Raw genomic sequence first — 25,744 nt, 5'->3', positions numbered from 1 at the left:
ATTAGGATAACAAAGAGTAAAGGTCAGGTGGACAGAATCCAAAGAAAAAAAAATTGTCTGGATGCCCCAGGAAGTGCTCTTATATTTGAGATAAGCCCCAGACTGTCATTTCCAGGAAGTGAAGGAAAGGGTCAAGGACTGACTGCAGTGAGAAAGAACTGTGTAGAGAACTCATGTACTTTTCCCATAGATATTTTAGACACAAGACTTACAACCAGGCTTATATATATTTTTAGCCTAGAAAGATTAAAAATAGTGACTACAGAGGATTAGGAAGAGAATTGATGTCAGGAAATGATACACCAACAAAATATCCAGGAAATGGTACCCAATTACCTGAGAATGAAATGAAAGAGAAAATCTGAAACAAGCAAAAGGAGGATTTCCGAAAGTATCATATCCCACGTGTGTAAAGTTAAATTGTTGTCAGTATGTGCTACTGAAGTAAATTATACTGTCAAAGGATCCTTGGGGTGTTGCTTTGTCAGCTGGACACCTTTGTGGCCAGTGGCTCCTTTGCCTGAGTTCTGCTTGGGCCTGCTGGGCTCATTCTGCCCATTCGGCCTGGCAGGCTGCGCTTGGTTTGTGCTACCAGCCCAGATCCCAGGCCTGCCAAAGGCGAGCCTGGAGCAGCAAGGGGTACGTGAATGAGCGAGCACAGGGTCCGGGTCACGCGCACAGCCAGGCATGCTGGCTACAGCAATGGGAGCATTTCTAGGCACCAGCATGGGCACCGGCTCCCTGCAAAGCTGTGGCTGGAGCAAGCGTACTGCAAGTGGCTTCCACTGCTGGCACTGGGGAACATGCAGGCCCACACCAAGCCACCCTCAGCAACCCCTTGGCTTCCCTCCCATGCTCATTGGCACCAAAGTCTGGAAGGGGCTGAGATACCAGGGGGCTGGCATATCAGCGCTGCCCCAAGTGTGTGCACACCCTGCCGGTTTGCAACAGCACCTAGGCTTGGCTCCAAATTTGCTCCGAAATCGGAACAGGCATTGGGAGCGGGGAGAGGCCAGGCAGTGGGAGCAGGCATTTCTGAGCCTGCAGGGGTACAGGGGGCTTCCCGGGCCCCTGAGAGCACAGGAATGCCTGAGTCGGCAGCTGCGGCTGGGTAGCTGCCCTGGCCATGCCTCCCCCGCTGCAACCAGCATCACTGCAGCAACTGCTCCAGATGGGCCACTACTGCCTGCCATCCATACCAAGTATACAGAAAAATACGTTACTTAGAATATTTCCCTAAATTGAATCCCTAAATGGAATATTCCCTAAATGGAATGTTGACTAAACCAGGTTAGATGTAATTGCTTTGGTGAATAAGGAAACATTCTATTTTTCCAAGGTGTATACAACTATTTTTATATATAATTCCTTTTTTTTAGATGGAGTCTCGCTCTGTCATTCAGACTGGAGTGCAGTGGCACGATCTCAGCTCACTACAACCAGCTCACTTCCCAGGTTCAAGCAATTCTCCTGCCTCATCCTCTTGAGTAGTTGGGATTACAGGCACCCGCCACCACACTCAGCTACTTTTTGTATTTTTAGTAGACTGGTCTCAAACTCCTGACCTCAGGAGATCCACTCGCCTCGGCCTCCCAAAGTGCTGGGATTACAGGCATGAGCCACCGTGCCCAGCCATATTTTTATATATAATTCTTATATGACTTGCCAACACTATAATACTCACTAAGAAAAGGTAGCGTTCTTGTGCTGAAGTGTTCCGAGCAGCTAGTTTGAGGATCTGTCCTTCTTTTATTAGTTCATTTGAAGGGTTTACAATGTCTTCTTCTTCTCCCAACATTTCATAAATCTCTAAGAGTTTCTTTAGGTTCTCCTAGGAAATTAAAACAGCAAGATCACATACAGGCAGGTTTCAACCTAGTAGCTTTAATAATACTATGACCTTAACTAAAATCTAAATTTAGAAGGGATTAGGAGTAAGCATACATTTTAATATAAATTCCATCACTTATTAGCAAGTTCAGAGAATTATTCCAGATAACATTAAACATTTCATAAACATTCTTTTTGGCTCATCTATTTCAATTCACTTTGGTCCAAATCTACATAGTATTGAGGCAGTATTATTGATAATTGTCTAATCAGAGGTTCCTGTCTCCTCCGAAAACCACTTACCATTTTCCTTATTGCACTATTAGAATGGCTTGCTGCTGTAGATATAATTTCAAGTGATTCTAAATGGGAAAAAAAGAAAAGTAAATAAATATGCTTTGTCCTTCCTGTGCTTCTATATAGCTGAGTAACTTACTAAATTAAGAAGTCTGAGACCAAAGATACAACAAAAATAGTGGCATTTTCCATTTATAAACGGTATATACTTTCTAAAGTTCATTTGTAAGCAGATTACTTGAAACTTCGTATTTCCTTATAAAAAGTCATACATGATGATTTAGGCTCACAGGTTTAATTAATCCCCAATGAACCATCAAAATTAATAAGCAGAGATAGAAACATCACTGCTTTTCCTTAGTTCATCTCTTGAGCTGTGGCCCCAGCCCAACTTATTTTGTCTCCCTCTCTCCTGGATCCTGTATTGAGTGCACAGAATTGCCCAAATCAGAATAGTTCTCCAAAATGTAAACAAAAATTCAGTTTCTTCTATACTCAGACTTTGAAACTTACAGTGTATACTAAATCCATACCAGGTACTTTATTACAATATCAATTCTTACACAGCCTTAAACCATTAAGTATTTTAGCTCCATTTGGCAGATGAATGAAATGGGGAAGTAATACAACTTGGCTGAGGTCACACAGCTATGCTATTGAAGGGCCAGATTTAAACCCAGGTTTCTGACTCAAAAGTTCTAAAATATTTCATGAGTAGTAAGTATTTTACTAGTTGTATGAGCAAATTAACCACTAAGCATAACCTACTTTCTTTGGGAAAATACATTCACAGTTCTAGCCTGGGTCGGGTGAAAGGGAATCTTCTGAGGCCAGTGTTGGAGGGTTTTGTTCCTGGGGCAGGTGGGAATGGGAACTCTTTGGTGTGGACATCGTAGGAGCTCCAGAGGCTGCTGGTGAAGTGCTGTGGATGCCGAGACCTCTTGCTGGACTAACCCTAGGAAAAACCTCTCAATCCTAAATCATGTCCCATTTTCTTCCTTTCTTTTCTGTTTTGTGAATACCGGCCTGCTTAATTCTGTTACCACAACAACCCTGAGACTTTTCAACTACATTTTTTGTCTTCAGTGTACTGCTGGACAGAATGCATTTTGTTGCTTTCATTTCTACTTTTAGGTCACCAAAAAGCCCTTCTTCTGTGATTTCCTTGGAATTTGAGTGAAAGTAGCAATGGAAAACAAACAAAAAGCAATAAAATGCCATACCATGTCACCAACTTTCTCATTTTTGACATGGGCATCTAAGGGGATACCAAAGTCTGAGTGTAGAATAAACTGAATTTTAATTTACATTTTAAAGAACTATTCTGATGTGGGCGATGCTGTGCACTTGATACAGGATCCAGGATAGAGGAAGACAAAATAAGATGGGATAAAGCCACTGCTCTAGAGATGAATTTGAGGAAAAGCAGTAGTGTTTCCACCTCCACCCCCACCACTAGATCTGCCACTCAAATCAAGCAGTCAGGTGAGATGGATGGAAAATGGAGACAGGGAAGAATTCATAGGAAGTAGTTGGTTTGAGGAGATGGCAAGCCGAGTTCATCCTACACTATGGAAGGGGCCAATGGAGAAGAGAAGTTTCTGTGGTCAGAGTCACTCAAATGATGGGAGAAACACATCTGAGACAGCTTGTGTTCTAGAAAAGGCTAAGGATCAGGGCCAGAAGCAGTGGCTCACACCTGTAATCCCAGCACTTTGGGAAGCTGAGGTGGGTGGATCATCTGAGGTCAGGAGTTTAAGACCAGCCTGGCCAACATGGTGAAAACCCGTCTCTACTAAAATCACAAAAATTAGCTGAATGGCTTGAACTCGGGAGGTGGAGGTTGCAGTGAGCTAAGATCGCGCCACTGCACTCCAGCCTGGGCAACAGGGTGTGACTCTGTGTCAAAATAATAATAGTAATAATAACAACAATAATAATTTAAAAAGAAAAGGTTAAGGATCCAAGACAAAAAATGTTTTACGTACTTCGTCTCTCATCCAGGTTCACTTATGACAGAAAACAAGAAATTACAAGGGAAAGTAGCAATGTTTTAAGGTTGTACACAAGTACAACCACTGCTTGTTGAATATCAAGCCACTGTTATTTCTTAAATTTTCATTCATGCCTTTACAGTTGATTTGTAAAAGTGCAGAAAAAGGTAAAGTATTATTGAAACTCATAAGCCTTTAAAAAAACCCCTTTCATTATAATCTGATGAAAAAATAAGACATCTAACATAATTGAAATACATTTTTCTTGAAGAAAATGTTATTGGACAATAAAAAGCACCATTTCCTGTTATGGTAGCACGTTAGGGCAGGTGCAGCCAACTCTGCTTAGGTTATTTTTACATAGTGAATGTCACCTTAGCTTTCTTGGTATGCACCAACCTATCTAATTAAACAGGAGCACTTGTAATTCTGAATGGCTATATTCTTCCTCTGACAAGGAAATTGTGTATTGCTATTCTAGATGTCTTTAAGACTATAATTTTATATTTCAGAGCCAGTGACTAACATGGAACCAGCAAAATTAATGTGATTTGCATTGCTCTAAACTTGTCATTTTGGCTCAAAAGTGACTTGCCTAACTGAAGTGATGATAACAATTTCCAATGAAATTATCTTCTAACAGCAACATTTGACTAAAGTAGCTGTGAGATGTATTTCTCTTTGAAACCATAAGGCTGCTTGGCCACTTGATTATTCCAAAATAGGGAGAAAACAAAAAAAAAGCATTTACTTTTAGCATCATTCCAGTCCAGGGAATCAGGAGGCAATTTCCTTAGATAGTCCTTAAGGAGCATCTCATACCGGGGAATCCGCTGAACAGGTTCTAGCATGTGATGCTGCAAAGTTAAGCTCCCACAGATTTTCTGTTTCTGTAATGAGAAAGGTTTTCTAAGAAACATTTAAAAATTAGGTTAGCAAGTCTAAAAACTCACTGTAAAACAGAACTTTCGTCAAGGGCAATATTTTTCGACAAAGTGTGACTGTCCATCACCTGCATGAAATGCAGATTTCTGGCCAGGCACAGTGTCTCACACCTGTAATCCCAGCACTGTGGGAGGCTGAGACAGGTGGATCACCTGAGATCAGGGTTTGAGACCAGCCCGGCCAACATGGCAAAACCCCGCCTCTACTAAAAATACAAAAATTAGCCAGGCGTGGTGGCACACGCCTGTAGTCCCAGCTATGCGGAGGCTGAGCCTGAGGCAGGAGAATTGCTTGAACCTGGGAGGCGGAGGTTTCAGTGAGCCAAGATCGTGCCACTTAGCCTGGGTGACAGAGTGAGACTCCGTCTCAAAAAAAACAACAACAACAACAGAAAACAGATTTCTGAACCCCACCTCAATCTGTAACATCACAATCTTTGGGGAAGGAGATGGAGAATATGCATTTTTTTCTTCTTTTTTTGAGACGGAGTCTCACTATGTTGTCCAGGCACACAGTGGTGTGATCTCACTGCAACCTCTGCCTCCTGGGCCCAAGTAGTCCTCCCACCTCAGCCTTCCAAGTAGCTATAGGCACGTGCCACCATGCCCAGCTAGAGAATATGCATTTAAAAACACCTGATATTTCTATAACACTGAAGTTGAGAACTACCAATCTGGTGTAAGAACAGAAAGGAGGAAAAAAAATCAAGCAGAATTTTAAGCAAGAAAATTCCAGATTGCTGATAACCACTTCAATTAGTCACTACAAGGGTTTGTGAAGTCACATTATTAAATCATTCTATATAGATTTTTCAAAAGATGTGCCTATTTAATGAGGTTTGCTAAGCACAACTGTATTAAATGACTTTGGACTCAGCAGAAACTATTTGATAATAAGGCTATGATAAATGTCATTGCCTTTGAACTTAAAAAAGACTCCATATAGAAGAATAACAAGGTCTGGGCATCTTATCTGTCAGAAAATTTTATTTTTTCATCAGTTCAAAGCATTCTTTTTCATTAGAAACCAAATTCTGTAAATAGAGCTCCATTTCTTAGGGCAAAATTAAGACCGTATCACTTGCTTCCAAGAAACTGTTAACAAAAGAGATGAAAAAATAAGAAATGTTCTTGTTCCTGTTAAACAAAGCAGAAATCCCATTAAAGTATATACTGAATTCACACCATGATCAGGGTACTGCAAAGCATCAAAGCTATATTAAGACATGGTGTTTGCATTTGAAGCAAACAAGTGACTAAAGGCTTCACAGAGAAGGGAACATTTAATGCAACCTCTGATAAGTACAGGCTCTGAAGAAAAAGACAGACTAGGGAGCGAGCCCAGGAGGAGAAACCTGAGAGAACAGGCCCACAGTAATGAAGCATGAAGTATGTTAAATGAAAGGGACAGAGAGGTTTTCTTGGCAAAAAAAAAAAAATAAGTAGAGGAAAATAGAAGACGTAAAGTAATGGTAATATGGGTAATAATGTCAAGGTGAGTTTAGATTTTTTTCATCTAATGTAGATTTTTGTGCATGACAGTTGTATCATTAGATCTGAGCTCTATTAGATTAATCTACTGCAGTGTGGCTTTAGGGGGACGGGGGAAACTAGTTTGGAAGTTGTTATTATAGACCAGGAAGAAAATAATAAGGGCCTGAAATTGGCATAGAAGCTGAGAGAATAGCTTTCCTTAATAAAGTTTAAGATATTAATTATATAAATTTAAATATCTCATTGGGTTTTCCCAAAATCTATTACGTACATCAAGGAAAGTATTACTGATCCCAAATATTTTACATGAAGAAACTGTGGCTCAGATAATTTAGGAGCGTTTCCTAAGGTCAAGTGACTATAAGCAGCAGACTTAGGATTCTAAACTAGGTTAGTTGATTCCCAATCTACCACTCTTTTCACAACCCATGTCATTTCATCATAATATAGAGAAGACAGACATTGTACAGATAGAATTCAGAGTGTGACTAGACAATAACTACCACTATCACCACCATCGCCACTATCATTTAGTGAGCACTTACTATGCAACAAGCACTACGCTAAGCAATTTGAATACATTATTTCACAGGCAAATGAACACATACAGAGAATGAAGACATGTAACAAATCAAAGATAAAGCTAAGTTGTCAAGCTCTGGTAAATGACAGGATAATGGTGTCACCTAATAAATCCAATACATATCAGAATAATTATCTACTCTATGTAAGGCCTAAAAAGTCAGATGGAAAAATGCTTGGGAGCTAAAAATAGGAAAAGAAAATATTGACTTTGTTTGGATGACAAGATATTCACATGCTCAGCTGTTTGTACCTAGAGTTTGGGAGTAGAGAACTAGACTAGAAACAGCAACCCTAGAGGAACCTGTCTGGCAAGTTAAAGGCATGTGGGAATAGGATATCACTGAAAAGTATGAAAAGAAAGAAGAATGTAGAAGGCAAACTTTGTGCTCTGCCTACATTTCAGAGTTAGCAAAAGAAGCTAGTAAAAATCAAAGCAGGAGCCCAATATTCAGTAAGGTAGGGGAGTGTTTAATTACAAAATAAAAGAATGTTAAAAAAAAAAAGGAGTGAAGGGGATGAGGCAGACCTTCTGGCTACAGCTGAATGAAGAGACTGGCAAATCCTCCCTGTTAAAAGCAGCTGATAGGCCGGGTGCAGTGGCTCCTGCCTGTAATTTTAGCACTTTGGAAAGCCGAGACGGGGGAATCATTTGAGGCCAGGAGTTTGAGACCAGCCTGGCCAACATGGCGAAACCCCGTCTCTACTAAAAGTACAAAAATTAACCAGGTGTAGTGGCATGTACCTGTAATCCCAGTTACTCAGGAAGCTGAGGCACAAGAATCGCTTGAACCCAGGAGGCAGAGGTTACAGTGAGCCGAGATCATACCACTGCACTCCAGCCTGGGTGACAGAGCAAGACTCTAACTCCAAAAAAAAAAAAAAAAAAAGCAGCTATAAAGCTAGATAAAATTGACAAAACAATATTTGCATTTTAGAAATTGATTAAAAGGCATGCAACAACCTGAAATCTGTTTACACTTTAAAAATTGTTGAACTTTGGGTAAGAACGGTGAGAATCTGTGGCATTCTAGCCTGTGGCTGCTCCTGTTCCTCTCCCAGCTCAGTCACTATGAAGGGGCCATCAGGGTGGCACGGACTGTGAGGACTGGCAGCTCCTCTGCTGAGGCTGAAAAGGGCTCATTCATTTGGAGTGGTGGGCAACATACACACCCAACAACATCAGTAGAAGTGAAGATCCCTGAGGTGAGTGAGAGGTGAGAGCCAATAACTCTACTAGCCAGAAGTTGTGGTTGTAGATGTGAAAAATACAGTAATTGAAAAGAAAAATTCACTATAGGTTCAACAGCAGATTTGAGATGACAGAAGAATCAGGGAACTTGAAGAAAGACTAGTAGAAATTATACAATCTGAATAATAGAACAAAGATTGGGAGTATCATTTGAACCCAGGAGTTCAAGGCCAGCCTAGGCAACACAGCAAGACACCATTTCCAAAACAAACAAAAGGAACCCACCAAAATTTGTGTAATGGGAGTAAAAAGATTTTAAAAAAGAGAAAGTGAAAAGGACAGAAAATATTTGAAGAAATAATGGCTGAAAACTTCTGAAAATGATTAAAAAAAAATCAATCTACAAATGCAAAAAGCTCAACCAACCCTAACCAGGACAAATACAAAAAGGTCCACACCCAGACACATCATATTTAAACTGCTGAAAGCCAAAAAACAGAGAACATCTTGAAAGCAGCAAGAGAAAAGTGACTCATCACACGCATGGGAGTATCAATACAATCAATGGCTGGCTTCTCATCTCAAACCACAGAGGACGGAAAGCAGGAGAATGACATATTCAAAGTGCTGGGGGGGATCTCCATATACTGGTTGAGTGCAGTGGCTCATGCCTGTAATCCCAGCACTCTGGGAGGCTGAGTCTAGGTGTTCAAGACCAGCCTGGGCAACATAGCCAGACCTTGTTTCTATAAAAAAATTCTAAGATTTAGCCAGGGTGGTGGCGCATGCCTGTAGTCCCAGCTACCTGAGAGGCTGCGGTGGGAGGATTGCTCAAGCCCAAGTGTTCAAGGCTGCAGTGAGCTGTGACTGGGCCACTGCACTCTAGCCTGGGTGACAAGAGCAAGACCCTGTCTCTAAAAAAAAAAAATAATAAACATTATAGAAACAAAGGCCAGGCGCGGTGGCTCACGCCTATAATCCCAGCATTTTGGGAGGCCGAGGCAGGCAGATCATAAGGTCAGGAGATAGAGATCATCCCGGCTAACACGGTGAAACCCCATCTCTACTAAAAATACAAAAAATTAGCCAGGCGTGGTGGCAGGCGCCTGTAGTCCCAGCAACAGGCTGAGGCAGGAGAATGGCTAAGTAAACCCAGGAGGCGGAGCTTGCAGTGAGCCTAGATCACGCCACTGCACTCCAGCCTGGGCAACAGAGCAGCGAGACTCCGTCTCCAAAAAAAAAAATAAATAAAATAAAAAGGAAAAACCCATATACCAGGAATTCCCAATCTAGCTAAACTGGACTTCATTCTTCATTCATTCAAAAGTCAAGAAAAAATAAGTGTAGTCCCAGACAAAGACTGACAGAACAACCATGTATGCTGAAAGAAACTTACTCCAGAAAGGGCAAATATAATAGTATACAATAGACTTATAGATACATTTTTTTCTCATATCCTTCCATAACAATTGTAGCACTGTATTATAGACTCACAACATATAAAAACTTAATATACAGGACACTAATAGCACAGAGCATAGAGGAGGGAACAGAGCTATATTGGAACAAAGTGTCTACATTTTACAAGAATTAAGGTGAGTATAATCTGAAGTACATTGTGAAAAATTAAGATGCATACTATAATCCTAAAAGCAACCACTGGAAAATAACTCAAAAAATCATTTGACAATTAGAGGAATTAAAATGGTACAATTAAAAAAATTCATATGACACAAAAGAAGACAGTCAAGGAACAACAGAATTCCCATGCCAAGAATCTTAGATGATCTAAAATATGCCTTTTCAATATCAACTGTATCAAAGAATATGACATTAACAATTTTGACTAGAGAATCAAGTGGAAATTATTATGGTATTATTAAAGTATGTTATTCAGGTTTGGTGAAACAGAAGAAAATGAGGACACAGATATCAAGTGACAAAAAAAGAATGATTAGTTTCCCAAATCTCAAGGTTTACAGCAATCATTCTTTATATTCCTTCCAACAACTTAACCTCTGAAAGAATGCAAGAGAGACACAGACCCGAATGGGAACTCATTTTGTAAATTTATGTAGACCCTAATAAAAATCATCCTCTGCTGGTCTCAAAAGCAAATGGAGAAGTTATTGCTTAGTATGCAGCATGTGACTGATACGTATTTCAGCATTGCAGAGATGATCTGCATAATTTGGAGTAGAATGAATTTTGGCTAGGTATCTCAGACAGATCTCTAGATCTCAGTTTTAGATATAGAAGACTGTATAATTTGTATGGAAATAGTAATTCATAGCTTTGAACAAAACAGTCCTATTACCTGAATTTCTTCAACCACTGATTTGAACTGGGGAATACGTTCTGTCATGTTTTTAACCAATTCCATTGCATTATCAAATCCTTTCACATATTCTCCATACATCTTAAGGAATGGTGCCAATTTCTGAAGGATGTCTCCAATTCTAGGAGTAGTTTCCCTGTATCAAATATAGAAAAACAAGTCTTTAAAAAAAATTTTTTTTTGAGACAGGGTCTTGTTCTGTCACCCAGACTGTAGTGCAGTGGCATTATCACAGCTCACTGCAACCTCGACCTCCCAGGTTCAATCAATCCTCCAGCTTCAGCACTCTCAGTAGCTGGGACTACAGGCACGCGCCACCACGCCTGGCTAGTGGCTAGCTTTTTGTATTTTTTGTAGAGATAGTGTGTCACCATGTTGCCCAGGCTGGTCTTGAACTCCTGGGCTCAAGGGATCCGCCTGCCTTGGCCTCCTAAAGTGCTGGGATTATAGGCATGAGCCACCACGCCCGGCACATTAAGATTTCTTATAGAATGAGTGAATTGACAGGACTAGAGAGGAAGTAATCACATTCTACATACATCCTGTGCTTTATCTCATTCACCGTACTGTGAGGCTGATAGAAAACAATGCAGCACCTTTTTAAAGGGGCTATCAGAATGCCATAGCAAAGAGAGATGCTCCGGAATTCTTGAAGCTCCACATTACCCGATATCTTGTCTTCACTAGCTAAATGATAGTTTGGAGAGCAGACATGAAGTCCTTTGTACCACAACTTCTATCAGTAGTCTTTAATGTAAAAATTTAGCATAAATGTCTAGTTACAGTTGTGTGTGGCATTTCTATTTCAATTTAAAAGCTGAAAAATACAGCATGACTGCCTTAAACATATCATTTTCTATCTACTCCTCTTACCATTCTTGCATTCGTTTCTCCAGCTCTGGCAAGAGGAATTTACTATGGAAGGCATTTATTGATGAAATATTAGAAAAGATTTTATTCACCATCTCTGCTGGAAACGAGCCTCGGTTTGCTTCTTCCAACAGTTTGCAATAAAATACCTGAATAAAAGAATAATGTAAGCATTACTTCACATTTATTGGTTAACCACCTAGCACTGTGCTAGGCACATAGTGGGCTCTTAGTAACTTTTTATTGAGCAAATGGAAAAGTTTACAGTTCAAGAGAATCCTTTGAAATTTAGGAGTGAGTATATGCTTTGATTTAGAAGAATCAGGAATAAGAATTAGGAAGCTTTGATTCTAATCTAGGCTATGCTCCTATCCATAGGAATATTATGGCGAATAATTCACCTTTTCTGTGCCAGAAAATTTCCAGTTGAGGTTAATAGAATTCACCCTTCCTATCCATAAGCCAGAGTTAGGAAATGTGAAAACACTTTATGTATACACAGTAATTGTGGTATTTTTCACTTCTCTTTATGTTTCGAAAGACTTCTTCACTTATTACATATTTCCCTTTATTGTAGTTTGCTGACATAAGTCTCATTTTTCCTATTAAAATTGTATGCTCCTTGGGAAAGGGGAACATCATGATTTAGTTCCCACAACAGAACAAGTGCATAATAACTGGCCAATGAATGGACAAAGGAATATTTCAATTCTCAGATACTTACCTGCTTTTTAGTAAATAATAATGCATAGTAATGTAAAACACTGATATGTAGGGGGAAAAGTCTCTTCCTACACATAGTAACACGTACCTTGAAGACAAAAAAAAAAAAAAGAAAGAAAGAAAGAAAGAAAGAAAAACAAAAAACAAAAACCCAAACCTTCAGTCTTAGCTATACTTCACTAGGGCTACTATACCTCTTAATTGCCATTCTGTTACATGTAGGCAGAAGGAGGTCTATTCCTTCATAATGTCCAGATGGTTGTTAATTTTCTAAATTCACCTCCACTCTATTTTCTTGAGAGGCAAAAAGAACAAAAAATTATGTCCTTAGAGGCTCCAATAGTTAGGTTACTATAGTAATTAGGACTCTAGAATTCTAAAAGGTCAGCAGCAGTGGCTGACGAGTTATTTGGCTTTAGAAAACCACACAACTTGATAAGAGAAAAGAAATATCTCCACTATGGGAATATCTAAAATTTCAGGTCTGTAATTCCCATAAGGAAGAAAGTTGTTTCAAAGGTACAAACTTCATATCATTTGATTTTGGCTTATGGTGAAATTCCTTCAAAAATGAATATGTGACCCATAAACTCATTCTTTCAAAGAGCATAGGCCTTAAAATGGCTTCTCATGGCTCACCCTAGCAGGCAAGTGGTTCACTTCTGGAACTAATGATAAGGAGGTATGCACAGGATTGCCTGTTTCCATGAAATTCCAGTTTCCAATGGCAGAAGTGGGACAATTCTTATAAGTAACACTCTAACATGGCAGCTTTCCCTTCTAACAAGGAGGCTATATGGGCAATCTACCATTTGTCCTATTCTTTATTGCTGAAACAGGATTAGGATGCCTTAGGGTCCAGGCGTGGTGGCTCACGCCTGTAATCCCAGCACTTTGAGAGGCCAAGGTGGGAGGATCACAAGGTCAGGACTTTAAGACCAGCCTGGCCAACATGGTGAAACCCCGTCTCTACTAAAGACAGAAAAAATTAGCCGGGCGTGGGTGGTGCATGCCTGTAATTCCAGCTACTCGGGAGGCTGAGGCAGGAGAATTGCTTGAACCTGGGAGTAGGAGGTCGCAGTGAGCCAAGATCAAACCACTGCACTACAGCCTGGGCGACAGGGCCAGACTCCATCTCCAAAAAAAAAAAAAAAAAAAAAAAAAAAAAAGATGCCTTAGTTTTCAAAAGTTATTCTTTTTTTTTTTTTTGAGACGGAGTCTCGCTCTGTCACCCAGGCTGGAGTGCTAGTGGCGCGATCTCGGCTCACTGCAAGCTCCGCCTCCCGGGTTCACGCCATTCTCCTGCCTCAGCCTCCCGAGTAGCTGGGACTACAGGCGCCCGCTACCACGCCCGGCTAATTTTTTGTATTTTTAGTAGAGACGGGGTTTCACCGTGTTAGCCAGGATGGTCTCGATCTCCTGACCTCGTGATCCGCCCGCCTCGGCCTCCCAAAGTGCTGGGATTACAGGCGTGAGCCACCGCGCCCAGCCCAAAAGTTATTCTTATAATATGTTCTTAGACTTTCCAAGTGTATATTTGAAATGATACTCAAGGTTTCATGATGCAAGTACAATATATGATAAAGTACATTCACACATTAAACAAATATCAGCTGGGCAACTTTATGCCAGGTACTATATTAAATGTTTCATACAAGGTCGAATAAGTGAACTTTCAAAATCCCTTCTGGCCCTATGACTACACCAGCTCAGATCACTCACATAATGCTAGATAGCAAATGAGGCAAACAGAATCAATGACACATCCATCTTAGCATTAGAATCATCAATATCTTATTTAGATTTTAGTGGTAACATGGTCCCCAGGATGACAATGAAAGGTCAGGAAACAGACTAGTGTTTAAGTTTATAGGACACTTGATAAACACATTTTGTGATTCATAGAGAGAAACCTCTACTCTTTACAAATTAGAAAATGCTTATACCTAGTGAATTCACTCACAAAGCTCAAAGTGCTGGAGATTTCCTTGAGCAAGTACCTTTCACTAGCCAAAAACAGGCCCTTCCTTCATGCAGTTTCTAAAATACTCTAATTACTAGGTTAAAATGATGTATAATGCCAAAATATAAAATAATTCTGAGAAAGAAAATCTTACCTGATCTAAGAGGTCAAGTCGGTTGACATAAGCTCTTTCAGTAAGCAAAAGTTCATTGGCTATTTTGTGAAGTTTTTGCTCATTAGTCTCCTAAAAATTGGAAAGATATTCACACATTAGGAAAGATACCTTGGACAATATTTCTAAAGTAAAAAACGCTTCTTCAAATGATTTGATCAAAACAGTTTTCTCAAGCTTTTCAGTTACTCGGTTCTTTCAGCCATCAAGAGATGTCAAACCAGAAATGAACAAAATTAGAAATTAGCAAGCAGCTGGATTTAAACTATAGTTTCTCCTTTGACCTCTGCAGCAGTTACCACTATCATATCTACCTTTTTCCTGGAAATCTATCTTTTTCAGTTCCTAGCATTATCTTTCTTCATTTTTCCATCTTTCTCAGGCTACTCTTTGGAAATGTTATCACTCAGACATCTTGTCTAATTATCAGTTCTATACATTTATTAATTTTTTATTTTTAAAAAATATTTTATTAGGCCAGCCGCAGTGGCTCATGCCTGTCATTCCAACATATTGGGAGGTAGAGGAGGGAGGATCACTTGAGCACAGGCGTGGTGACGCACATCTGTAGTCCCAGCTACTTGGGAGGCAGAGATGGGAGGAGGTTGAGGCTGTGTAAGCCATGACTGTGCCACTGCACTCTAGCCTGGGTGACAGAGCAAGACCCTATCTCAAAAAAACAGAAAGAAAAACTTCAATCAAATAATACAGAAAACAGTAAAGTGAACCCCCACATGCCCATCAATGAGATTCAACAAGTATCAACTCATTGTTAATCTTGTTTCATTTACGCTCCCCCTCACCTCTGTCTGCCCATTTTATTTTGTATTAATTCCACTTTATTTCTTCAGTATGTATTTATTTAAGCCTTAAATATACTTATATAACTCTGCCAGTTTCATGATGACAGAAACATTTTTTCCTTGTTAGCTGCTGTATCTCCTGTGCCTACTACAATGCTTCAATAAAAACACTGGTATTCAATACAATATTGCCGAACAAATGAATGAATGAGTAGCAATCACATACCTAACTATTGCTGGACATTTATTACTACTTTGACATGCTGACAACACAAGACCAAATTCATCTTTTCTGAGAAACCTCTACCCTACTATTAACTCCTAATTTTCTCCTCCTGGTAATGGTACAATTATCTGGCTTTGGAATCTTGAATTAAACTTATTTCTCTACCATGGCATCCTGACTGCTACCAAGTCCTACTTATGATACTATGTCTTTAGCATTCATCCTTTAAGCTCTCAACACTGCCACCCTGTTTCGCTCATCTCTTCTCAAGCCCAGACCAATCAATAGCTATCAAATGATCTGATTACAATATTTTGTGGCGTGAATTTACCTTCTGTATTGCTGTATGAGGGATCTTTCTAAAACTTTCCTTTGTTCCACATTTATAAAGCATTGTCAAGAATGAATTAATCCTTATAAATACTAAAAAGAAACAGTATTTCCAAATAATTAAGCCATTGTCTCTGAATGTTTTTATTTTTGTATTTTGTCAGTTGTTTTGTGGAAATCTTTCTAATGTATATGCGAAGATTTCTGCTCTGAGAAAAATATATAACAAAGTTATATCCTTCCATGTACTTCTCTTTTTGTTTTTTTTTTTTTTAAGACAGAGTTTTGCTCTTGTTGCCCAGGCTGGAGTGCAATGGCATGATCTCGGCTCACCGCAACCTCTGCCTCCCGGGTTCAAGTGATTCTCCTGCCTCAGTCTCCCGAGTAGCTGAGATTACAGGCATGCACCACGACGGCCGGCTAATTTTGTATTTTTAGCAGAGACGAGGTTTCTCCATGTTGGTCAGGCTGGTCTTGAACTCCCAACCTCAGGTGATCCGCCCGCCTCAGCCCCGCAAAGTGCTGGGATTACAGGCATGAGCCAATGCGCCCAGCCCCTTCCATGTACTTCTCCAGGACTATTTCTCTTAAAGAGAAAAGAAAATTCTAAACTTAAAAAAAAAAAAACTTTCCATTGCATACATAATTCTACTTTCATAGAAAGAAAAGCCTTCAGTAGTCTTCCTCTCACTGACAGGACAAAATCCATACTATGTACATTCAGGGTTATTCAAACCTCTACTCACTTCCTCAAACTTTTATCATCACAGGCACCATTCCCTCCAAACACATCACTCAAATGCATGTTTGATTATTATCCAAACGTGTCCCTGGTTATCTCTAAACCTTTCTTCTTTCCATCCTCTCTGCCTGGCATATGCTCTTGCTATTGTAGCTCTCTAGGTGTCTAAGATGCTTTTCTTTTGACTGCTGCATTTCCAATTCTTGTCCATGGGGCCTTCTTCAACTATTCAAAGCCCTTGGGCTTGGTCCTATTAGAAGGCATTTTATCTTTCATATGCAAATCTTTGTATTGAAAACTTTCTATCTAGTACTTTGCTGAAATACCCTCCCTTTCTCTGTAGCAGATTATAAAGTATAGGCAAAACTCTAAAAGCAAAGTAGACCAAAGTATATTTTAAGCCAGTGTCTAACTTAGGTATAAATACTATATTTTAAACTGCGTATAAATGCTATTAAGTTCTATGAATACTTCACTATGTTCACCACATGAGATCTACTTCATGCTTTACACTTTACACACAAGATCCTTTCAATATGTAAAGTTAATGTGTTGTTTCTTACAGTGGCATTGAAATGAGGTATTTTTAGGTGAAGTCCTCAGGTATAGCAATATAATAGTGTTTAAATAATTTGTGGTCTCAGAAATATGGAAATAAGAACTATGCAGTCATCTAATTCCACAATTAGTCAAAGTTTGGATTTAACTTAATACAATTCGGGATAAAGTACTGGCATTGTTGGTTGCCAGCCTGGCATATTTCCCACCCCTCATTTCTTAATAGTATCCAGATTGGGTTAGTGTATATATTACTACTATACAGTCAGTTCCTCTAGGGAAACAGACCTTATTTCCAGATCAAAAGGTGGGGCCCTGAATAGTGTAAGAATCCAAGTTCATAGTGATTGGTTCTGGAGACAATGAGATATGAGGAAATATATACTGAAGGCTTTGGCAATAGGAAGCTTCCTACTCTTAAGGCAGAGCCCAATGGGAAGACATTTCAGGCTCCCAGAGAATGAGAGTATATGGAGGCTTAAGTGCTATGAGCAACGATTCCATTACCACAGGAATGAAGCCAATAAACTTCATTATTGTTTAGGCCGGGCTTAGTGTTACTTGTGGCCAGAAGCATCCTGGTTGATATATGATACATATGCAGGATACTCCATGAAATTTAAAAACCTAAGTAATTTTTAAGCAATTACTACTTATAAGGAAAAAGAGATAAAACTTAAATACATTGTGGGATAAAAATGTGACTTTCCATCCTGTAATAAGTAAACATAAATGCATAGTAATTACATAAGACACCTATCAATATTTCAGAGGAAGATACAGGAATATGCTGTCCTTCATATTCACAGGAAATATTCCCCTGCATCAACATTGTAAGCCCTTTGTTTTATTTTGCTGTGTTGTTTTTTTTTTTTTTTTTAGACGGAGTCTCGCTCTGTCACCCAGGCTGAAGTGCAGTGGCGTGATCTTGGCTCACTGCAACCTCTGCCTACCGGGTTCAAGCAATTCTCCTGCCTCAGCCCCCCAAGCAGCTGACACTACACGTGCGTGCCACCATGCCCAGCTAATTTTTTGTAGTTTTAGTAGAGACGGGGTTTCACCATGCTGGCCAGGCTGGTCTCGAACTCCTGACCTTGTGTTCCGCCTGCTTTGGCCTCCCAAAGTGCTGGGATTACAGGCATGAGCCAATATGCCAGGCCTATTTTGCTTTTCTAAGCCAGAATGGTTGAGGCATAATTTATAAACAGTAAAATTTACCCTTTTTGGTGTACAGTTCCAGGAGTTTTGACAAATGCATGTGATAATGTAACCCAGAGGTCCCCAACCTTTTTGGCACCAGGGACCGGTTCTGTGGAAGACAGTTTTTCCATTGACTGGGTTGGGGTGGGGAGAGAGGGATGGTTTCAGGATGATTTAAGCACATTACATTTATTGTGTACTTTATTTCTATTATTATTACATTGTAATATGTAAGGAAGTAATTATACAACTCACCATAATGTTGAATCAGTGGGAGACCTGATCTTGTTTTCCTGCAACTAGACAGTCCCATCTGGGAGTGATGGGAGACAGCGACAGATCATCGGTCATTAGATTCTCATAAGGAGCATGCAACTTAGATCCCTCGCATGTGCAGTTCACAATAGGGTTCAAGTTCCTATGAGAATCTAATGCTGCTGCTGATCTGACAGGAGGTGGAGCTCAGATGGTAACGTGAGTGATGGGGAGCAAGCCTGTAAATACAGATGAAGCTTCACTTACTTGCTCGCCTGCCCCACCACTCAAAAGGCCACATCCCTAACAGGCCACAGACCAGCTGGTACCAGTCCGTGGCCTACGGGCTGAGGACCTCTGATATAACCACTACCATAATCAAGATATGGAATATTTCATCATGCCTCAACTATTTTTGTGCCCCTTTGTAATCAACCCCCTCTATGCTCCTACCACCAGATCCTGGTACCTAGTGATCTTTCCTTTCTATAATGTCATGTAAATGCATGTGCCTTCTTAGTCTTGTTTCTGTCATTCAGCAAAATTCATTTGAAATACATGCATGTTGTTATTAGTAGCAGTAGCCTATTCTTTTCAAGACCTTGGTTTTATTCTGATAGTGCTGATGTATCGTTTTGACTCACTCATATCCTATGTTCTGATTCTAATTCTGACAATATCTTTAAAGACAGCAACCTGGCAGAACTTGTGCCATGATAAAATAATACATCTTTCATGAATCAGGGAGTATGTTAACTAACAGATATAACTGTGTATTACTGCTATGCAATGAAGTCACCCCTGAGGTCCTCCACAATCCTACAGGATCTTAAATAGGAAGCTTATCAGAATAATCTTTGCTGACTGCAAAGCATGCTTTAGCTGAACTTGGCAATTGTGGATATCCTGGTCAGATTTTGCAAAATCCAAGGGGGATGCCAGCAGTTATTAGCAAAAGCTATGCTCTCTCCACACAGACCACCTTCTACATGTTAGGTCCCTAACCCTGACAAAGCCAACACAAGGATAAGCAAAAAGTAAGTTTGCTGACAACATACGGTTTAATCACTCACTTACATATAGGTTTGCAGAAAAGTTACTAGGGATTTTGGGATGGAGATGAGTAAATCACGGACTAATTGTGCCTTGCTTTAGGTCAATTAAAACAGCAATAATAATACCACCATAATAACAAAAACTAACACTTATTCACTGATTATTGTATGCCAGACACTGTTATAATTATTTTACATAAACTGATGAATCCTTACAACAATAAATACCATTATTATTTCTATTTTACAGACAGCACACATACAACAAAACAAAATCCTGAGGCTCAAAGAGGCCAGGTTACTTACCCAAGGTCACAGAGTTAGAAAGTAACTGTATCATATAGGCAAGTACATGATTTTAAGTTACTATTCATGATATACCTTGGCTCTCACTATCATCTTTCTTTCAACAAAACCCAAGACTGTGATATGTGCCTGTAAATAGACAGACTGACAAATCACCAACTATCTGCTTACAAAATCCACCTGGAAATGAAAAGTGGTACTACTACATACTTTAATTTATATATTATTTTTTTCCAACATAAATTCTATTAAAGAGATACTTTTCAGCATTTTAGTAATTATTAGGTATACAAAATACAGTCATTTTGAAGTAATAATATGGTGGCTTCCAACTTTAAAAACTTATTTAAGGAAACTCATCTATAAGGATATTTAAGGAGAAATAGATGATTTATTTGCATGCATGGGGCTTTATTACTATATTAGAATTACATATAAATAATAAAGTAGTCTTAAAATTGCTGGTACATTGGGGCTATAGCCTGATATTTTTTTTAAACAGGAAAGCTAAATAGGTAAATACTGTTTCTTAACATTGGGCACTTCAAAGTTACATAACCACTACTTGTGCTTAGCGCTTTACCATGAAGCCATTTATTCTTGCAGTCCTTTGGGAAACAGTAATAGTCATGCACTATTAATTTAATATATAATCCCATTTTCTTCTACTGAAGTCTAAGAAAAAAAGCTTGACTTTTCAACATAATTTATGATTAAAATATAATTTATAGTTTTTCAAAAATGGGATTTTAAAAGAATCTTACTTTTGATATCCCTTTATTTTAAATAGAGATATCAAAAGTAAGATACTTTTAAAATCCCATCTCTACTGAAAATACAAAAATTAGCTGGGAATGGTGGCGCACGCCTGTAGTCCCAGCTACTCAGGAGGCTGAAGCAGGAGAATCGCTTGAACCCAGGAAGCGGAGGCTACAGTGAGCCGAGATCACACCATTGCACCGCAGCCTGGGCGAAAGAGTGAGACTCTGTCTCAAAAAATAAATAAATAAATAAATATATTAATTTTTACCTTACAAATACATACACAATGCTATACTCATAAATTGAAAGGTGATTCCCAGAGTATTGCCTCAAAATAAAAATACACAAGAGGATATCTAAGCTATCAGCACCAAAAGTTACACTCCTCTTACAGTAACAGAGTATGCAATTAACTTTCCTCTTTCTGTGTAATGCACTTCCTAGGCTGTTACTGTCTGCCTTCACACCTCCAGTACCCTTTGGGAGAGATCTGCTCCTTTCTCTCTGGGCTTAGGTTCGGCCTGGTTGTTAGTCACTGTAGCCCACTGCTTCATGAATGTACTGCAGTGTCAGTCCTGCCTCCTCATTTTCAGGTGTCACCAGATCCTGCAGCTCTGTTCAGACCTTTTGGCATGACTCTCCCATATGGCTGGAGGCAGAACAAAGGGCCCCCACTGCAGCTCACAGAGTTCATTAACTGGATAGGCAGAAACACTTGGGTGGCATCAGCGATTCATTCTTCAAAATCTTGGTGCCATCCACCCTGCCATGTGCCTCGAAGCTACCAAGTCGGGGAGCAGATCTTCTGGGAAGAATGTTGTAAATGCTAAAAACAATTATGATTTCCTGAGAGATGCTTCAAATGCAAAATCTTCAATTATTTTAAAATGAATCAGACAATATTATTCTTTATGACTCTTCAGCACATGTTCTCATATGTGATTTCATTTTAGGTAGGAAGAATTTTCCTAAAAACATATACCAAAAGCTACTAAAAGGTTTTGCAGCTTTTCCTATCTACTTATTAGAGGTTATAGTCAAAACAAAATGTACGTAAATGACCTAAGTAAATTATCAGGTTTTTATAGGACATGAATGAATATTTCTTAATCATGGGAAGTTTCTATTCAAATCTGCTGTCAGTTAGATAATTATATTCTTCTATGGAAAGAGAGTGGGTACCCTTTGTACAGGTACATACATCTCTGTGGTCCCTAAAGCCCATTCTCTGGTAAAGAAGTTGAGTCAACTTAGGGAATGAATATTTGATTTTGTACCACAATTTATCAGATGCATCAACACTTTGATATGTCATTTTATATGTCTTGTCACAAACTGAAGCCTTCATTGGGGCTGCAGGCTGTTAAATTAAAATTAGATCACAAGGACATTTGAATGTCACATAATTGGTCTAACCTATTACTTGTATTAGACATCTTTGTTCTGTGATATTCCAAAGTTCTGCAGATTCTTTATCATGAAACTAAGGAGCTGGGAAATCAAGGAAGCTATCACAAGTGAGAGATGGTGACAACCACCACTATTTAATGAATACTTACTACGTGCACTATTCTATGTACTGCACATGAGTTATCTCTTGTAATCCTAATCCATCTGTGAAGCAGGAGTATTATCACTCTCATTTTATAGATGAGGAAGCTGTGCCATCATGAGGTTAAGTAACTTGCCCAAAGTCATACAGCTAGTAAGCGAATGAGCCAGGATTCAAACCCGGGTCTGTGAAAACCAACTTGTGCTCTGCTACAGCCTTTTGCATGAGGAGAAATCCCTCTGGATTTGGGGAACAAGAAAACCAGGAGGTAGAGGAATAAAACACAGGTTTCATGGTCAAATAAGATCATGTCATAAATGCCATCAAAAGGGTCATGAGGTCTCAAGAACTATTTGTTAACAGTAGGGAATTTATCACTAGGCTCACATTATTAAAAAGAGAGAGAGAGAGAGAACACCCACTTATGATATGCATATATCATTCCTTGCTTTTTTTTTTTTTTTTTTTTTAGATGAAGTCTCACTCTTGTCCCCCAGGCTGGAGTGCGATGGCGCGATCTCGGCTCACTGCAAACTCTGCCTCTCGGGTTCAAGTGATTCTCCTGCCTCAGCACCCACTGAGTAGCTGGGATTATAGGCGCCTGCCACCATACCCAGCTAATTTTTGTATTTTTAGTAGAGACGAGGTTTCACCATGTTGGCCAGGCTGGTCTAGAACTCCTGACCTCAGGTGATCCACCTGTCTCGGCCTCCCAAAGTGCTGGGATTTCAGGCATAAGCCACCGCGCCCGGCATTCCTTGCTTTATAATATAGTGTCATAAGCATCAACAGGCTGTCAGCTCGGCATGATCCTTCAAGAAGCTTCAAGAAGTAGTCCAGGCCTACTTGTGACTTACCACCAATATTTTCCCAAACTTAGGTCTTCCACACTATCCAATTCAAAACTTGAAATAAGAGGGGAGAACAATGAGTGAGAGTTAATGGCACAATCTCAGCTCACTGCAACCTCTGCCTCCTGGGTTCAAGGAGAGTTAAAAGTGAGAGCTTTTAATCTGAAGGTTTCAATTACGTTCTTTCGTGACATGGGGAGGAGGGGGAAACAGAGGTTGCACAAAGAAAAAAAGTTTGGTTACTTGCACAAGATCAGACAGGAAGTAAGTGGTGGTGAAGAGAGAACAACTTTGGTCTTCTTATAATCTATGTAGTGTAAGTTACACTAAAGAGTCCTTTGAGTTTTATAGAAATTAAAGAACAGGCACCAAGAAAAACTGAATATGTATACACATTAAATAACTGAATTAACCTGTCTAAAGACTTAGTCATCAAAGTATCTCAGTCATTTATAAACGCTTTATGTTAATTCTGTTAAGTCAGAACCTTGTATACACTAATGAGAGTACATCATGTGGTAATAACCAACAGTCCTCAGGCAGGAGAAACAAAATACAGGAACCCTAAGTTAAAAAAGAGGTGGTATGCAAACTTCTCTGTGTATCCTACAGTGGGAGAACCGAAAGAGAGGTGCTGGTATTAACCTGGCAGAATGTGTTGAAATTTGGATCTATTAAATGACATATTAGGCTTTGAGTCTATTGATCTTGATTCACAAGTGAGGAAACAGGATGTTTAATTAATAAACACATAGCTTTTATATGCCAAGGCACTGTTCTAAAGTACTTTACAACTAGTACATGATCTATACCTCATAATGTTACAAGGTAGATATGTTATCTCCATTTTACAGATGAGGAAACTGAGGCACAGGGAGGTTGAAGTAATCTGCTCAAGGTCACAGAGCTAGTAAGTAGCTGAGTGGGATTCAAATCTAGAGGACCTGGCTCTTGAGTCTGTGTTCCTGACCACTAGGTTAGGTATCTGGCTTTTTAATTTGTTTTTAACCCCATATAAAGCAAGATTTTAGCTTTCCATTTCTCTCACACTCAACTAAACTGGGTCTTTCTACACGCTGTGACCTCTAAGCACCTGATCTTTCCCAATTCTCCTGGTTCAACTCAACGTTCTGTTAAACCCCATCCTTTGTTCTCTTGGCACTGCTGACTTGCTGATCCTGGCTAATTCCCACTCCAAGTTTGCTTTTTCTCTTTCTTGAATTCCAGGCCACTCAGCAATGCTGGGAAGACTTCTGATTGGCTCTATAGTCTTTGCCCGATGCTCTCAGAATCATGGTCACTGTTGCCACAACAGCACCTTCTCCAAGCTCCAAGTCTTGCACCTGGAGGACTTCTTGCTGGTCTTGGCAGAGGACTGCCCAAATCGACACTTCAATCACCAAGCCTGCAAGCTACCTCCGTGCTGTGGTCCCTCAGTCCGTCCTAGATTCTCCATGACTTCTCCGTTTCTGCTAACAACAGTGAATTCACACTAATAGCCATGATGTAAACCTTAGCTTTATCAGTGAGGCCTTTTCCCTTTACTTCAGGATATCTTGAGTAATGGTCATTTGTTGTCTTAACTCTCCATCTCAACTGTAAGTTTCTTCTTTGTATTTACTGCGGTGCCTTGCCCATAGCCTATGTGCAATATACATTTGCTCAACTTTGTTCAATTACTCAAGTTCACCAAGTTATATACTAGTATACAGCTAGTTAGCTATCAAGGCCTACTAAAGGCTAGGTCTCCAAGTTAACTCCTAGTTCCATATTCTAAATGCTGACCATGCTTTTTTCCTTAAAGCTTTCCAATATGCCTGCACCCCTACCCCATTCCCCTCCATCCCTGTGGTTCCAAAACACTGTTCTCTCTTCTTTCTCCTCTTGGACAATTTATTAAACATCCTTTTCTATTGTTTGTGCTTCATGGCTCAACTCTTGGCCCATTTCCTGTTCCTACACATTCTGCTTTGGCAATGTTAATCACACCCTCATGCACCATCCTCTTAACATTCTTACCCTCTTTCCTGGGCTCTGGATCCACAGTTCCACTTGCTTAATTAATATCTCCAAATGGATGTTTTGCAGGAACCATAAACTTAGTATAAGAGTACAAAACTAACCTAATTAGCAACTCTACTTCCTTCTCTCAAACCCACACCATTACTTTCCTTCCTGTCATCTCAATGATTTCAACATGTCAGGAAGCCATGGCCTGGAGAGTTTGTTAAAGTGATGTGTCTGGCCAGGCACAGTGGCTCACACCTGTCAGCACTTTGGGAGGCTGAGGCGGGTGGATCACTTGAGCTCAGGAGTTCAAGACCAGCCTGGGCAACATGGTGAAAACCTATCTCTACAAAAAATACAAAAATTAGCCAGGCGTGATGGTGCATGCCTGTAGTCCCAGGTACTCAGGAGGCTGAGGCAGGAGAATTGCTTGAACCTAGGACGTGGAGGTTGTAGTGAGCCGAGATAGCGTCACCGCACTCCAGCCTGGCAGCCTGGGCAACAGACCGAGACCCTGTCTCAAAATAAATAAATAAATAAATAAATACAGAATAAAAAATAAGCAATAGCCATTAAAATTTTTTAATTACAAAAAAAGTGATGTGTCAGTGGTCACCTAGCTAGTAAGTGACGGGGCTGGGATTTGAACTCAGGTATTTTCATTCCAAAGCCTTCATGCCTAAACCAATAAATCGTAA

At 39.7% G+C, this 25,744-nt stretch overlaps 1 protein-coding gene across 24 annotated transcripts in view; it reads right to left on the bottom strand.

The window, feature by feature from the left end:
* The window catches only part of FGD4 (FYVE, RhoGEF and PH domain containing 4), a 246,493-nt gene that overhangs the window by 33,083 nt on the left and 187,666 nt on the right, over nt 1-25,744 (bottom strand). For 18 of the 24 annotated variants that reach the window (NM_001370298.3, NM_001384126.1, XM_047428291.1 and 15 more), the window contains 6 exons: nt 14,382-14,471; nt 11,545-11,690; nt 10,651-10,807; nt 4,873-5,011; nt 2,134-2,192; nt 1,685-1,831 (listed from right to left, as the gene is read on the bottom strand). In NM_001370298.3, coding sequence (NP_001357227.2) covers nt 1,685-1,831; nt 2,134-2,192; nt 4,873-5,011; nt 10,651-10,807; nt 11,545-11,690; nt 14,382-14,471 — 738 coding nt within the window. Of the gene's footprint in view, nt 1-1,684; nt 1,832-2,133; nt 2,193-4,872; nt 5,031-10,650; nt 10,808-11,544; nt 11,691-12,458; nt 12,559-14,381; nt 14,472-18,513; nt 18,595-25,744 lie in introns of those variants that run through there. The other 6 variants (NM_001304484.2, NM_001304483.2, XM_011520558.3 and 3 more) reach the window with 6 other exon arrangements.

Source organism: Homo sapiens, chromosome 12 (assembly GCF_000001405.40).
Source record: "Homo sapiens chromosome 12, GRCh38.p14 Primary Assembly".
Lineage (NCBI taxonomy): Eukaryota > Metazoa > Chordata > Mammalia > Primates > Hominidae > Homo > Homo sapiens.
This window is presented reverse-complemented; position numbering and strand designations above follow the sequence as displayed.